General features: G+C 38.8%; 1 annotated feature.

Annotated features, from left to right (window-relative positions):
- Window positions 10,433-10,727: a silencer, noted in NCBI's record as "tiled region #9284; HepG2 Repressive non-DNase unmatched - State 21:Repr". NCBI's record gives its function as "represses a minimal TATA promoter and a strong SV40 promoter by Sharpr-MPRA in HepG2 cells {active_cell/tissue: HepG2}" and the evidence as "EXISTENCE:reporter gene assay evidence [ECO:0000049][PMID:27701403]".

Genomic DNA, 17,586 nt, shown 5'->3' on the forward strand with positions numbered 1-17,586 from the left:
TCCTGAGATATTGAGGGTTACAACTTCAGTACTTGAATTCTGGGGTACACAATTCAACTCTTAACACCCTCCTTGAAATTTTACTCCCCTAGAATCCTTAGGACTTCTTTTTGTACATCTTGGACCACTCTTTCTCATTCTCTTTTTCTAGATTACTTTCCTCCACCTGCTGCTTAAAAATTAATGCTTTCTATGATTCTGCACTTTTTTTTTTTAGTTTCTCCTTTAAAAAATTTATTTTAGGTTTTGGGGGTACACGCGAAGGTTTGTTACATAAACACGTTTCATGAGGGTTTGTTGTACATATTAATACATCACCAGGTATTAAGCTTAGTACCCAATAGTTACCTTTTCTGCTCCTCTCCCTTGTCCCTCCCATCAAATAGACCTCAGTATCTGTTGTTTCCATCTTTGTGCTCATAAGTTCTTATTTAGCTCACACTTATAAGTGATAACATGTGGTATTTGGTTTTCTGTTCCTGTGTTAGTTGGCTAAGGATGATAGCCTCCAGCTCCATCTGTGTTACTGCAAAAGACATGATCTCGTTCTTTTTTATGGGTGCATAATATTCCATGATGTATATGAACCACATTTTCTTTATCCAGTCTGTCACTGATGAGCATTTAGGTTGATTCCATGTCTTTGCTATTGTGAACAGTGCTGCAATGAACTTATGAGTGCATGTGTCTTTATGGTAGAATGATTTATATTCCTTTGGGTATATACCCAGTAATGGGATTGCTGGGCCAAATGTTAGTTCTGCTTTTAACTCTTTGAGGAATCAGCATACCGCTTTCCATGATGGTTGAACTAATTTACACTCCCAGCAACAGTTTATAAGTGTTCCCTTTTATCCAAAACCTCACCATCATCTGTTATTTTTTGACTTTTTAATAATAGCCATTCTGACTGGTGTGAGAGAGTATCTCATTGTGGTTTTGGTTTGCGTTTCTCTAATGATCAGTGATATTAAGCTTTTTTTCATACGCCTGTTGGCCTCATCTATGTCTTCTCTTGAGAAATGTGTGTTCATGTCCTTTGCCCACTTTTTAATGGGGTTGTTTGTTTTTCTCTTGTAAATTTGTTTAAGTTCCTTATAGATGCTGGACATTTGACCTTCGTCAGATGCATAGTTTGCCAAAAGTTTCTCCCATTCTGTAAGTTGTCTGTCTACTCTGTTGATAGTTTCTTTTGCTGTGCAGAAGCTCTTAAGTTTAATTAGATCCCATTTGTCAATTTTTGCTTTTGTTGTGATTGCTTTTGATGTCTTTGTCATGAAATCTTTGCCCGTTCCTATGTCCAGGATGATATTGCCTAGGTTGTCTTCCAGGGATTTTATAGTTTTGGGTTTTACCTGTAAGTCTTTAATCCATCTTGAGTTGATTTTTGTATACATTGTAAGGAAGGGGTGCAGCTTCAATCTTCTGCATATGGCTACTGTGCTCCCTCTGTTTTTATACCACATGCTATTCCCTAGGGCTCCATGGCTGCATGTTTTTTAACTGGCATCTGTATAGGGATGCCTCTAAAACTTGTATTTGAAGGCCAATATCTTGCCTATACCTTACCTAGACATATATATTCATTTATTAACCTGATACATATTTATTGAGTGTTTATATGAGTTACACATTATTCCACACAGTAGGTAAAATAGACAATGTTCACATGGACATAATGGGGGAGAGGTAAAAATCTAATAAATATATAATGTCAGATCGCGATGAGCTATATTATACCGAAAATAAAAGGCAAAATTCAGGGGATAGAGGGATGAATGCTATTTTAGATAGGGTTGTCAGGAAGGCCTCTCTGAGGAGGTAGCCCTAAAGAGACCTGTACTTCCAAAAGCTAAATGAAAACCTTTCACTGGACAACCCCCAAGCACCCCAAACTTTGTCAAGTTTTAGTCCAAAATGAAACTTGTTGTCCACAACCCCCACTAATCTAATCTTCCTGTATTTCTGATTCTGGCCAGTGGCATAACCACTTTTCCAGAAACTTCTGAATCACACTTATCCTATATCCAATTAATTAGTCACTAAATCCTATCCCTCTATCAATTTAACTTCTGAAATATCTCTCAAATATAAGTCTTTTTTTCTATCCCCACATTCACTACCTTGGTTCTTACCAATTCTCATGTAACCTATTACAATAACCTTTCTCTACCCTGCTATACTACTAGCAAAGTAGTCTTTCTTAATGAAAATCTTGGCATGCCATTCGCCAGCTCGCACAGTCCCTTCCTTTCACCCTATCTTAAGAATAGACTTCAAAGCACTCAACTTGACACTCTCAATCTACTGGGATCTGCACCCCTTCAGCCTCAGTCCTCACTGCCAAGCCATTGAACCCTAAGTTCCAAAAGTGAATCTACCAAATACTGTTCCTGCCCAGAGGGCCTCCTACAAATGTTATCATTTAGCAAATACTTATGTCATTTCTATGATGGTGCCTTCTTTCTCTTCCTATAGAACTATCTACTCCAACCTTTTCTTCCCACAAACCTGTAACACTTATCATATGTCATTACCACTATCCATCTCCACTTATTAAATTGTCAGCTTCTTGAGGGCAGCACTCTTCTCAGTTACACCTTTGTAATCCTTGTATCTACATCATACCTGGCACACAATAAAAATTCTATAACTGAAACTGCAAAACTCTTGTGAAAGAAATTTTAAAAAATCTAAATAAATGAAGAGAGATTCCACGTTCATGGATTGGAAGATTCAACATGCTTAAGATGTCAGTTCTTCCTAAACTGATCTATAGATTTAACATAATCCCAATCAAAATCCCAGCAAGGCTTGTAGTAGCTATTGATAAACTAATGCAAATATTACATGTAAGGTAAAATACCTAGAATAGCCAACACAATAGTGAAGTAGAAGAAAAACGTTGGAAGTCTCAAATGTTCTGACTTTAAAAATTACTATAAAAATACAGTCATCAAAACAGCATGGTATTGGTGAAAGAAGAAGCATAGATTAAAACACACACAACACACACACACACACACAGTAGAGAGCCCAGAAACAAGCTACAAAGATAATCAACTGATATTTGACAAAGGAGCAAAGGCAATTCAAATGGAGAGAATGTCATCTTTGTAGCAAATGGTGTGGGAACAATTGGACATCACATGCAAAAAAACTGAATGCAGACACTGATGTAAGCCTTCACAAAAATTAACTCAAAATAGATCATAGGCCAAAATGTAAAATGCAAAGCTATAAAACTTCTAGAAGAAAATATAGAAAGTCTTAGGTTTGGTGATAATTTTTATATACAACACCAAAAGCACAATCCATAAAAAAACTGGTAAGTTGAACTTACTAAAATTAAAAACTTCTGCTCTGTGAAAGATACTGTTCAGAAAATATTTGTAAGACACATATCTGATAAAGGTCTTGTATAAAAAACACACAAAGCATTCCTTTTTTGTTTGTCTGTTTGTTTTTTGAGATGGAGTCTCGCTCTGTCGCCCAGGCTGAAGTGCAGTGGCACGATCTCGGCTCAATGCAAGCTCTGCGTCCCGAGTTCACGCCATTCTCCTGCCTCAGCCTCCTGAGTAGCTGGGACTACAGGCTCCTGACACCATGCCCAGCTAATTTTTTTTTTTTTGTATTTTTAGTAGAGACGGGATTTCACCATGTTAGCCAGGATGGTCTCAATCTCCTGACCTCGTGATCCACCTGCCTCTGCCTCCCAAAGTGCTGGGATTACAGGTGAGCCACCTCACCTGGCCACAAAGCATTCTTAAGATCCAGAAAGGAGAAAAAATATGTCCAATTTTTTTTTTTTTTTTTAGATGGAGTCTAGCTCTGTCGCCCAGGCTGGAGTGCAGTGGCACAATCTCGGCTCACTGCAACCTCCACCTCCAGTTTCAAGCGATTCTCCTGTGTCAGCCTCCCTAGTAGCTGGGATTACAGGCACCTGCCACCATGCCCGGCTAATTTTTGTCTTTTTTAGCAGAGATGGGGTTTCACTGTTTTGGCCACGCTGCTCTCGAATTCCTGACCTCGTGATCTGCCCGCCTCGGCCTCCCAAAGTGCAGGAAGTCCAATTTTTAAATAGGCAAAAGATGTGTATATTTTATCACAATGAAAAAATATGAATACATTTTCATCTACCGCTATATCTATATCTGTGTTCTGTATCTAGTATTCACTAGGATTGTTCATGAATTTTTGATTGTTTACAAGTTTTCTCTTTTTTGGGGCCCATGGTAGAATTGCATTTCCCCAAAGCAATAATCAGACATGGTCACTGTACTTGGTTTGATCACTGAAATGTAGGGGTAAGTATCATGTGCCTTTCTTAAGCAAAAGCTTCCAGAGCAAACAGAACTTCAATATATTCTGTTTTCCTTTTGGCACAGCAACTGTCGAAGTTCTAAATAGTGGCTGCATCAGCCTAGTTTGAGAAGAACAGTTATGTGTGAAAAAGAGCCCTCAACCATACCTCAATGGACATTTAACATGAGTAAGAAGTAAACATTTTCCCAGCAGTTTGGGAGGCTGAGCGGGAGAATCACTTGAGCCCAGGAGTTCCATACTAGCCTGGGCAACACAGAGATACCCCATCTCTACAAAAAAAATCGTTTTTTTAAATTAGCTGGGCGTGGTGGTGTATACCTGTAGTCCCGGCTACTGGGGGTGGGGAGACAAGGGCAGCCTGAGGTGGGAGTATCACTTGAGCCCAGGAGGTCGAGGCTGCAGTAAGCCCTAATTGCACAACTGTACTCCAGCCTGAGCAACAGAGTGAGACCCTGTCTCAAAATAAATAAATAAAAATAAGAAGTAAACTTTTGATGTATTAAAGTAAAAAAAAGCCTGAACAAACTGTTTACCAATGAAGATCTGAAAGACAGTTTACTGATTAAAATATGTAGATGGTAAATTAACATATGAAAATATACTCACCATCATTTGTCATTAGGAAATTGAAAAGTGACATATCACTACAAACCTATTAAATGGCTAAAATTTAAAAACTAGCAATACCAATTGATGTGGAGCAGTAGGAAGAAACTTTTTTTTTTTTTTTGAGACAGAGTCTTGCTCTGTCACCCAGGCCAAAGTGCAATGACGCAATCTCGGCTCACTGCAACCTCCGCCTCCCAGGTTCAAGCAATTCTCCTGTCTCAGCCTCCCGAGTAGCTGGGACTTCGAGTGTGTGCCACCACGCCCGGCTAATTTTTGTATTTTTAGTAGAGATGAGGTTTCGCCATATTGGCCAGGCTGGTCTCAAACTCCTGACCTCGTGATCTGCCCTCCTTGGCCTCCCAAAGTGCTGGGATTACAGGCATGAACCACCACGCCTGGCCAGGAACTTACTCATTGGTGCTGGGAACACAAAATGGTACTTTTTGGATGACAATGTTTCTAACAAAGCTAAACATAATCTTACCATATGATCCAGCAATTGCACTCCTAGCCATTTACCTAGCTTATTTGAAAGTTTATGTCCACAAAAAAACCTGCATATGAATGTCTATAGCAGATTTATGCATAATAGCCAAAAGCTGAAAGCAACAAAAATGCCCTTCAATAAGTGAATGGAAAAACAAACTATGATAAATCTACAAAATGGAATATTATTCATCAATAAAAGGAGCTATCAACTTATAAAAAGGCATGAATGAATCTTCAGAGACTATTACTAAGTGAAAGAAGCCAGTTTGAAAGGGTATGTGCTGTATGATTCCAACTATATACAATTCTGGAAAGCAAAACCATAGAGATGGTAAAAAGATCAGTGGCTGCCAGGGGCTTGAGGCTGGGGGAGAGGTAAATAGGTGAAGCACAGGGGATATTTCAGGGCAATGAAACTACTGGATGATATTGTGATGGTGGATACATGGCATTAAGCATTTGTCAAAACCTAGAGAATATACAGCACAGGAATAAACCTTAATATGTGCAAATAAAAAAAGTCATTTAGGGGCTTTAGGGGGGGGGTCCCAGATCAAATACAAAAAGTAACCAAAACTAACTGTATTACAAGTACATTTACAACCTCATTTAAAGGGGTCGGGGGAAAAGTGCTGACCTCTGTAACTATGAAAATGAATGAAATTTGCAAGATTGAGTGCAAAAGAAACTATACATAAGCACTGTACTTTAGTTGACTGTTATTGTCCATGGGAATATTGATTAACAATTCTGATCTGCCCTACATATATGGTGGAATTGAACAATTACACAAATAGAAGATGGCAGGACCCAGGTTTCACACTACCGGAGTGAGAGGTTACAGACAAGCAAGGGAAGGAGGCTAGAATGAGCCATGTGGTAATGGATTAGAGTTTAAGGCATCAGTATTAACTCATGCTTAGCTTAATGTAGAGACAAATGGTCACATATAGAGATATTTATAGCTATGTGTATATATAGGGGTCAGTATATACACATGTTTTTCCTTGCTCTGTCAGTTGACGAACACTAGAAGCAATGACACAGTAGTATGGAGCACATTTAGCACCATTCTCCCATAAAAGAAACCAGGGCTCCTTGGAGAAATGGCTCATTCTAGGACTGGGGCAGGAAATATACAAGATGAGCCAGTAGCATCTTATAGCATCAGAAAGCAAGGAAGTGCTCAAAAACCAAACAAAGCAAAATAAAAGAACTTCATGATTGGAGTATGTCAGAGGGACACAGAAGCCAACTGAAAGAGCTCCCAGTGGCCAAAGCTGGACCAACTGGGGCAAGAAAATAAATAACATAGTATTGAATTGTAACCCAAATTATAAAATAAATATCCATGAGTCCATAGTGATATAAATAAATGTATAAATCAATAAATGGGAGACACAATCTCCTATGCAGAAGTCCAAATAAGTGATGTAGTTGCTTCTGCCTCAAGGAAGTAAGGCATAGCTATCCCTTCCTTAAAAGCAGACTGTGGGCCGGCGCGGTGGCTCACGCCTGTAATCCCAGCACTTTGGGAGGCCGAGGCGGGCGGATCACGAGGTCAGGAGATCGCGACCATCCTGACTAACACGGTGAAACCCCGTCTCTACTAAAAATACAAAAAATTAGCCGGGCGTGGTGGCAGGCACCTGTAGTCCCAGCTACTCGGGAGGCTGAGGCAGGAGAATGGCGTGAACCCGGGAGGCGGAGCTTGCAGTGAGCCGAGATTGTGCCACTGCACTCCAGCCTGGGCGACAGAGCAAGACTCCGTCTCAAAAAAATAAAAATAAAATAAAATAAATAAATAAATAAATAAATAAATAAAAGCAGACTGCGCAGAGTGACTTCCTCCCAAAAAATACAATAAAAAAAGGGAGTGGCGGGGGGAAGATATCTGGGCCAGGTGCAGTGGTTCGTGCCTATAATCCCAGCACTCTGGGAGGCCAATGAGGGAGGATCACCTGAGCTCAGGAGTTCGAGACCAGCCTGGACAAAAAAGGGACATGTAATCTCTACACAAAATGACAGTAAAGTGGAGAACTTGAGAAACAATACCACAGCCAGGTGTTCCAGATCAACATTAACAGTGACAAATCATATTGACGTGTACCCTTGATATGATATAATGAAGATGGCACTTTACTTCTGTGGCCATCCTCCACAAACCCATAACCCTAGACTAATCATGAGAAAAATATCAGACAAATCACAATTGAGAAACATTCTACAAAATGTCTGACCACTACTCAAAACTGTCAAGATTAAAAAAAAAAAAGTGAAAGTGTGAGAAACTGTTTCAACCAAGAGGAACCCAGGGAGCCCTAAAACAACTAAATGTAATGTGGTGTCGTAGTTGGGATCCTCGAACAGAAAAAGGATATTAGATAAAACCCAAGGTAATCTGAATGAAGTATAGACTTTAGCTAATAAAAATAAAATTCAATAACTATCAAATGTATGGATGATTCCTTAATAATACTTTTGTCCTTGCTAAACTTCTTTTTTTTTTTTTTTTTTTTTTTTGAGACAGAGTCTCACTCTGTCGCCCGGGCTGGAGTGCAGTGGCACCATCTTGGCTCACTGCAACATCCGCCTCCCTGGTTCAAGCGATCCTCCTGCCTCAGCCTCCTGAGTAGCTGGGACTACAGGCATGTGCCAACATGCCCAGCTAATTTTTTGTATTTTTAGTAGAGATGGGGTTTCACCGTGTTAGCCAGGATGGTCTCGATATCCTGACCCCATGATCTGCCCCCCTTGGCCTCTCAAAATGCTGGGATTACAGGCATGAGCCACCACACCTGGCCCGTCCTTGCTAAACTTATAGTGTGATGAATTAAAAAGAAGGTGAGCTTTGGCATCACGCAAATCAGATCTGCTCTCAGCTTCACTCCTTGGTTGCTGTTGAATTCTGAATGAGTTCCTTTTTTTTTTTTTTTTTTTTTGAGATGGAGTTTTGCTGTTGTTGCCCAGGCTGGAGTTCAATGGTGTGATCTCAGCTCACTGCAACCTCCGCCTCCTGGGTTCAAGCAATTCTCCTGCCTCAGCCTCCCGAATAGCTGGGATTACAGGCGACCGCCCCCACACCTGTATAATTTTTTTTTTTTTGTATTTTTAGTAGAGACAGGGTTTCACTATGTTGATCAGGCTGTCTTTCAAATTGCAAAAAGGAAAATTTGGTAACGGCAACCAAAAACACCGTAAGCCTATGTACTGTGCTGAAATACAAAAGCGTAAGCCCAAACTAAGAGTGTCTTTATTTTCTATTTGGATGCAAGCCAAAATCAAACAGAACTGACGTAGTGCCATTCTGCCTCTCCCAAGAAAGAAAGAAAGAAGGAAGGAAGGAGGGAAGGAAGGAAGGGAGGGAAGAGAGAGAGGGAGGGAAAAAGAACGGTTCGCGGGAAAAAGACATCAAATAACAGCAAAGAAATGCAGCTTCTAAAGTAATCTCCAGTTCCTTACTGGCTGTGAGGAAAAAAAACTTCTCACTGGATTAGTCCTGACATATTAAGAATTAAGAGCAGCCTCTAGTGGCAGATCAAAGATTTTACAAAGTAGCCTTGCAGAAACCAAAATGCCTTCTATTTTTTACTGCTTGCTCTAAGCAAGCTCAGAGCCAAATTAGCTCATCAACTTTTGCAAGTATGAATAATTTCACCCGGCTTTGAGTGTTCTTAATACTTATATTTTATTTATATTCTTTTTTATACGTAGTTTAGCTGGACTATTATAATATCATGGTGGGGTAGGATGTGGTGGGGGAGGATTTTTTTTCAAAGAACAAAGGATTGACTGAAGCCTAAATGAAGACAGATTTGATGAACTGAAGTTCAGTTCTCACTTAGCTTTTTCTGTCTCCTTAAATGAGGGTGATCAAAACTAGAAATATCCTAAGGAAAACAGAAATACCTGAGAAACAATGAATTTCCCTGAACTTCATCTTTCCAAAAGGAGCACCTTTCTCCAACACTGAATATGCCAAATGTCTCGTTTTACACACCTGCGTTTCTCCTTCCTCGGAACTCTATCATCCAAACCCTTGGTTTCTCATCACTTATGAAATTAAAAATAAATGAATAAATAAAATGTTCTTCCTCATCAGTTATTGCTACAAAGACGCTGTTATCTTGGGATAAACTCAACACGCCGTGATACGGTGTGAGGATTGCCTATCATGGCAGCTGTCCACTATCCAGAGAAACAATCAGAAAGTTTTAGGAACACCCAAGGGCAGATTTTTTTTCGTTTCAAATTTTCACAACGGACAGTACCAGGGAGCTGGGGGGAAACTGCTGAAAGCTGGGACACAAACGGGTGACTCAGGGTGGATAGAAGTCACCCCATCAGAGAGACCAAGGAACTTTACCTACCACCAACCACTTCCCTGGACTTTTTTGTTTGTTTGTTTTGACGAGTGTCTCTCTGTCGCCAGGCTGGAGTGCAGTGACGCCATCTCGGCTCACTGCAACCTCCGCCTCCCGGGTTCACGCCATTCTCCTGCCTCAGACTCCCGAGTAGCTGGGACTACAGGCGCCCGCCACCACGCCCTGCTAATTTTTTGTATTTTTAGTAGAGATGGGGTCTCACCTTGTTAGCCAGGATAGTCTCGATCTCCTGACCTCGTGATCCGCCCACCTTGGCCTCCCAAAGTGCTGGGATTACAGGCGTGACCTACCGCACCCGGCCCTTCCCTTGACTTTTAACCAGGCTTTTGGAGAAAGCGTGGAATAGTAAAAGGCCAAAACAATAGCCTCCCTTTCCCGGGTGTGGACACCCTTCCCGGTCCTCAGGAGCCTCAGAGGATCACCCTCTCCGCCCCTTCCTCTAGGGCCTCGCTTGGGAACGCAGCGAAGGCGAGGCCCGACCCTGCCTGGGACGCCGCAGCCCTGGCCCACCAGTGCTCCCAGCCCGCCTGTTCTCAGGATTCCGTGCGTCCAGCGTCGGGCTAGTGCCTCCTCCAGGTCAGAGCGCCGTTCCCTCTAGGATGCAGGAGCAAGAGATGTGCGCGGAAAGGTCCCCAGGACGAGGACGAAGCCTCAGGCTTCTCAAAATAAATGGCGCACTTGGCCTTGGAGGGAAAGGAGGAGGCCTCCGGGAAGGTGTGGAGGAGACTGGCAGCCTTGACAGCATCGAACTGGGTTCCGCCCACCGAGATTTCTGCCTCGAGGACCTTGCGGAGCAGCCACAGGCAGCCTCATGCGGGTGCCCAGCGTGCGGGACACGAGGCTTCTGCTCTTGGCGGGGTCCAGTGAACCCCAGGAAGGGCCTGGGCTGGGTGCCTGGGGCGAGGGTTGTTCTTGGCCTGGGACTTGGTCACGTCTCCATGGAAATATTGCTAATTGTTCCTTCACTTGAAAGACGAGACTGTAGACAAAATCTTTTTAAACCTTGACGGGCCTGTTACTCCCAAGAGCTTCTCTTCAAATTACTTGGAGAGAGAATGAACCATAAAATAATATTGCCTTCTTTCATATCCTTATATAATCATTTAATTTTTTAGAGCTTCTCTGCTTCTCTTACATGTGTGCTTTCAAGTAAATTAATCTAGATTATATTTTTTTATTAAAAATTCTTACCTCCTCATAGGAATGCTACATTGATGAATTAATATTTGCTAAGCACTTGGAAGGCGAAAACTACATAAAATTTGGTGGAATTACTCTATTATTATTGATACAGAAAAACAGTAACTTGATGGGACTGGTAACCGGGCTATTATTGTAAAAATGCTTTGCCTTTTCAGACAAAGTGGTGGAGTACAGAAATAATTATCCAGGTAATTCAAATTCCCCAGAAAATGCGGTCCTACTTGGAAGGAAAAGTGAATCTCCTCACTGATTTTGTTTTGTTCTTCTTTATTATTATTGTCACATTTAAGTTAATCACTTGTATAAATGTAATCACCTGGATAACTTTTCCATTTTGATTTCTCTTTCCTGTGATTTAAAATGAAGTAAGGCCAGATCTGCATTAACAAATTGAGAATTAAATAATACTTGTCCTTTTACAGCAGCCCCACTATTTTGATTTATATTCAGGTGTTGTAACAGCAATTTAAATACAAGTCCAATAATTTCAAATATCTTACATCTGTATGATTAGTTGCACAATATTTCTGACTAGTAGAGAGGAATAAGATTGATAATGTCTAATTTTTCTTAGGTATATGGTAACCAGAGCAAAGATAGGCATTATGGCTAAAATTAGATTTCCAGTTAAACTTACTTTCCCCAGAACACTTTTAATTATTAGGACAATTGCATTAATTCCCCTCTTTACTCTGCTAATGTCAACTTTGTCATAGGCCTCAACATCACATAGTACCAATAGTGTTTCAGAAATAATCTCAAGAGTTTTAGAAATAAATTACTTTTTCAACACAGAGTTTTTAAATGTAATGTTCTAAAATATCCAGTAAACAGCTGTAATCAACCATTATTAACTTTCCTGTTTTCAAGCACAGAAAACATTAAAATTTAATATCACAAAAGTAGGCCAGACCACTATCATCAACATAATAGTCATCATCACTTATAACATTTATTAAATTACTCAGTACAGGAGTGCCAGGAAATGAAATAATATTGTGACTTCACTAGAGGGAGCAATTCTTTTTAGTAAATTGTATTACTTAGTTCTATATATTTAGTCATCCTAGAGTGGATCTAGACATTTAACATAATTTGAGAATTAAAATGTGCAGAATTCATGAGAGATCTTATTGAAGATGTACTGTCATTTCAAGAGTTGTTTAGAGGTTTTCTTAAACTATCTGAGGAGAAAAACAGGGCTTGAAAACACAATATGGAATAAGTCCAAGGTAGTGATACTTTAGCTGAACATCTGTCAGCATTTCCATTTTGTTGTAATTTTCACACATTTGTACTTTTAGAGAAGAAATTACGGTCCGCTAAAATTGGTGCAGCATGTAATTCATTAAAAGTTCAACAACAATCACAGCAATAATAGTTAGTTTCCAAGCATCTGGTCATAAATGCAAATAAACTCCAGACTCAATTGAATAAAGATACTTATTGTAGTTAACCAATTAAGTGATAGATGTTCAGGCCTAGTCACATTTCTGCTATACATTTCTATTACTAGCTATTTATGACAACCTCAACAGTTCACTTAGATTTCCATCCTATTTGATATGTTTCATACTCTTGTTTTTGCCAGGAAAATGTTTTTAAGTAAAAATTAATATGGAATTAATACAATTAATAATATTGTTACAAGTATGACTAATTATATTGTTTTGATTAGATGTTAAATGTTAATGTTTAATGATATAGATTTGGCCTTTGAAAATAAAGTAAAATTTGAGTTATTATCATTGAATTAATGCCAAATCTAAAAATACAAAAGAAGCTAAATTTTCAAAAATTATGGTATTATTTTATTTTAAAAGTAATTCATTCAATACATATTTAGTGAATTTCTACCTAATGATGGATACTGTTAGGGTCTGAGGATACAAAGATAAGTAAAGATCCATCTAGGCTCACAATTTAATGATCCTTATAAAATATAATTGTTTTCTAATTAATTAATTCCATTTATGTTTTTAAAAACCTATGTTTTTAAAAGCTTCCTCAAGTCCTTTACTGAAAGGAGTAGCTTTTCTCCTTTTTTAATCACTGAGAAACCATGACAAGGGCTCAGAGGTTAAAGAAAGTTTTAGTCTTCCAGCATATGAGACACATTCAGAATATAAATTGTCAATTCCGTTTGTTCCAACTATTTACTACTATTCGTTTGTATGTCTATGGGTTAGATGTTCTTCAGACTGCATTTCCCAAACTTTTCCCTAAAACCCTTCTCAAAAACAAAAAAAATGCAATCTGAATACTTGTGCTACTGTATTGATGGTTTTGATCTTGATTTTACCTAGGAAGGCAGAAAGAGAGCAGGTAACTGATGAATCCCTGGTAATAGTGTATTCCACTTAAATCTATCTTCTTTCCTCATTATATCATCTAAAATATTTTATAGTCCCACAGTGTTATAACAGACTGAGTTAACCATAGGCTTTTGTGAAATATAATAATGTATCAAGGTTTCTGTGAAGTTATATTCCAAAATATTGAAATGCATATCGTTTGTTGCACTGATAGTGTCATTTCACATATTTTTGTACTGTGAATTAAAGTGTAAATATCAGAGCCACAAAGGGAAAACCATGACTGAAATATATTAGGGCTAAGGATTACACAGCAGAGATGGATTAATTTTCTTTTAAGTGAAGTACTGTGAAAACTAACTTTAAACTATGACAAAGAAAAGGAACATTGGATTTCATAAATGTTCTACATACTTATAATAATGAGAGATTTTCATATTGGCATGTAATTTATGGAGACAGTTGAGAAAACAGAAATCCATTCATTTTATACTTTAAAATTTATCTTCTTTTAAAATTATGTGAGGTTAGTTCCCATTATAGAAAATAAGTACATATCAATAAAAATTTTACTCCATATTGAAAAACATTCTGGCAACATTTTACTTAGTTTATGCTATAATATTCTTAAAACTAAATCTACAAACATAATGTTAAAGTGGCTTTAGAAGTTAGAAGCCCTAGCCCTTTCAAAAAAGGGAACTAAATACATTAAATTTTTTAGTATTTTAATATTTAACATTGAGTCATACATAGCCATCCAATATGAAAAGCAGGATCCTCCTATCATTATCAGAAATCTACTTTCTTATGCATTTTAGATTCTAAACTCAGACCAATTGAGTTTTTAGAGGAACTTAATTTAATTGCAGTATATATTGAAAATGAGAGTTCTCCATTCTCCTTAATGATGATTTGTATTACCTCATTTTACCATTGCAAGGAAAACGTATTTATACCTATTTGGAAATCCTTGGCCCTTGGCTTTTTGTGTATTTGCAGTTTATAAATGTTAATCCCAGTGGATCCCAGGGACTGGTAAAGGCTCATAGGCTAGGAAGGTACTTTATAAGAAGTGAAAAAAACAGACTTTCCCTTTCAGTTATAAAGCAAATAATTTAAAAACTTTGAGCTAGAATCTAAACACCTTAGCATAGTAACTAAGGTTTTGAAAGGCAATTATACATAATACATGAATGTTTTTATGCATATTTTGCTTTATTTTTTTTCTACTTAATCTATATTGTTAAGATAAAACAAAAAGAAAGCTGATGGACAAATAAGGCTTAGCCTGAAGGAGCAATGATAAGAAAAAGTCCTGAACATAAGATTTTTTTCAAGACAGCAATGGAAGAATGGGCTTTTATATGGGCCAGGCTCTTGGGGGAAGAGCTCAGAACACTGGGGCTCTATAATGTCAAAAAAAGTTTACTTCGGACTTAAAGTCAGCATTTTCATATAAGTTATTCTACTGAAAATAGGATTAATGTCTTAATTACTTTGAAAAATGAAACTATTAACAAAATATTTTACAATTACCAGGCTCTTCATCTTCAGTGCACAATAGATAACACATAAATGTTTGTATAACGTTTATATATATTCTACATAAATGTTAAACCCAGTTTCTATGTGGTAAAACTAAGAAGATTCTTAATTTCAAAGACAACTGGTAAAAGACTATGGCTTTATTTTCCACATTTCTATTTAAGGAAATATTATTACATTAGGCAAAATTATTGATATGCTTTGGTTCTGTGTCCCCACCCAAATTTCATGTCTAATTGTAATTCCCACATGTTGAAGGAAGGGCCGGGTGGGAGGTGATAGAATCATAGGGGTGGACTTCCCCCTTGCTGTTCTTGTGATGAAGTTCTCAGGAAATCTGGTTCTTTGAAAGTGTGTAGCACCTCCCTGATCACTCTCTTCCTCCTGCTCTGCCATGGTAAGATGTGCTTGCCTCCCCTTCATTTTCTGCCATGATTGTAGGTTTCCTGAGGTCTCCTAGTCATACTTCCTGTTAAGCCTGTAGAACTGTGAGTCAATTAAACCTCTTTTTTTCATAAATTACCCAGTCTCAGGTAGTTCTTTATAGCAGTATGAGAATGGACTAATTCAATTATCTAATAAAGAGTATTGCAGATATATTGCTGTTCTTATATTATCCCTACAATAATTTCTAAGTTGTTTTTAAGAATTAGGGCATGAACTCATCTTCTCTCATTCTTTTTATTATTCAAGAAAAAATAAAAAACAACTATGTCTTTTAAGGGACCCAAAATTGTGAGTATTACATAGAAAATTAAGAATTTAACATCCTGCCAGGGGCTGAGTGCGGTGGCTCACATCTGTAATCCCAGTATTTTGGGAGGCTGAGGCCGGCAAATTCCTTGTGCTCAGGAGTTCGAGACCAGCCTGGGCAAAGTGGTAAAACCCTGTCTCAAAAAATAAATAAATAAATAAAATTTAAAAAAATTCGCCAGGTGCCGTGGCTCATGCCTGTAATCCCAGCACTTTGGGAAGTCGAGGTGGGCAGATCACGAGGTCAGGAGATCGAGATCATCCTGGCTAACACAGTGAAACCCTGTCTCTACTAAAAATACAAAAAATTAGCCGGGCGTGGTGGCCGGCGCCTGTAGTCCCAGCTACTCGGGAGGCTGAGGCAGGAGAATGGCGTGAACCCAGGAGGTGGAGGTTGCAGTGAGCCGAGATGGCGCCACTGCACTCCAGCCTGGGAGACAGAGCAAGACTCTGTCTCAAAAAAAAAAATTAACTGGGCATGGTGGCGCATACCTGATGCCTGTAGTCCCAGCTATAGGCTGAGGCAGGAGGTTGGCTTGAATCTAGGAGGTGGAGGTTGCAGTGAACCGAGATTGTGCCACTGCACTCCAGCATGGGTGACAGAGAGAAACCCTGTCTCAAAAAAAAAAAAAAAAATCCTGTCAGGAATGGTGGTTTATGCCTGTAATCCCAACACTTTGGAAGGCCGAGGCAGGAGGATATCTTCAGCTTAGAAATTCAAGACAAGCCTGAGCAATGTAGTGACCTCATCTCTGCAAAAAATTAAAAATTAGCTGGTGTGGTGGCATGTGCTTGTAGCCCAGCCACTCAGGAGGCTAAGGTGGGAGGATCGCTTGTGCCCAAGAGTTCAAGGCTGCAGTGAGCCATGATTGTGCCACTGCACTCCAGCCTGGGTGACAGAGCAAGACAAGAAGGGGAAGAGGAAGAGGAAGAGGAAGAAGAAGAAGAAGAGGAAGAAGAAGAAGAAGAAGAAGAAGAAGAAGAAGAAGAAGAAGGAGAAGAAGAAGAAGAAGAAGAAGAAGAAGAAGAAGAAGAAGAAGAAGAAGAAGAAGAAGGAGAAGGAGAAGAAGAAGAAAAAGAAGAAGAAGAAGAAGAATTGTGTAATTATGGTTTACTGACTGAAAGTTTAACACATGTATGGCATATAATGGACCCTCCTGATAAGCCTCAAACAGTATTAAATAAATGATTCTCAGTAAATGATTTGTGCTTATCTTCTTTGTACTATGTGATATGCAAGTTAGCTTTAGATTTTAGAAATCATTCTAACCCAGAGTGTTTTTACTTTAAAATGAAGCCAAAGCTGAATCTGAATCTTAGCTTCAAGAAATACATTTATCCTGGAGAAGCCTTGAAAAAAAGTCTTTAGACCAAATACTAATGAGAGGTATCTTCCTCTGTAGTGGTCTTTCGGTCTTTCTACTTCATATCTAGATCCTGGTGTTAACTGGGAAAACACTTAAATAACATTCCATGGATCTGCAGAAAGTTCACTGTGTCACCTAAGATGGTATTCTAAGTACTTTGGAGCTTTGGGTAAGGGAATGCCTCTAAATTTGCTGGTTTATTGCAGAAAACTAAGTGTATCTTAGATCAAATGGGAAAGCAGCCTCATGGCCATTTTGTATAGTTTATTCAACATTCCAGTCTAGGATTTTTCTGAACTACCTTTTTCATAGGTGGTAATCCTGCCTATGTTTCAATGTTTCCAATGTGGAAGTCATTATTTTGTTAAAGAATTTGAAGCATCAAAAAATGCTTCCATATATTTTGTTGAGATCTACCATTCTACAACATTTAGCCTTTTGTTATTTTTCTCCCCTTTGAAGAAACACAGGATATGCAGAATATATGTATTATTTCTTCCCTGCACTACTGCTTTACATACATGTATAGATACCATGTAATTCCTTAGTCTACTCAAGGTTAAACATCACCAGTTGACTGAAGCACTCCTT

The sequence above is a fragment of the Homo sapiens genome, chromosome 4 (assembly GCF_000001405.40).
Source record: "Homo sapiens chromosome 4, GRCh38.p14 Primary Assembly".
Classification (NCBI taxonomy): Eukaryota; Metazoa; Chordata; class Mammalia; order Primates; family Hominidae; genus Homo; species Homo sapiens.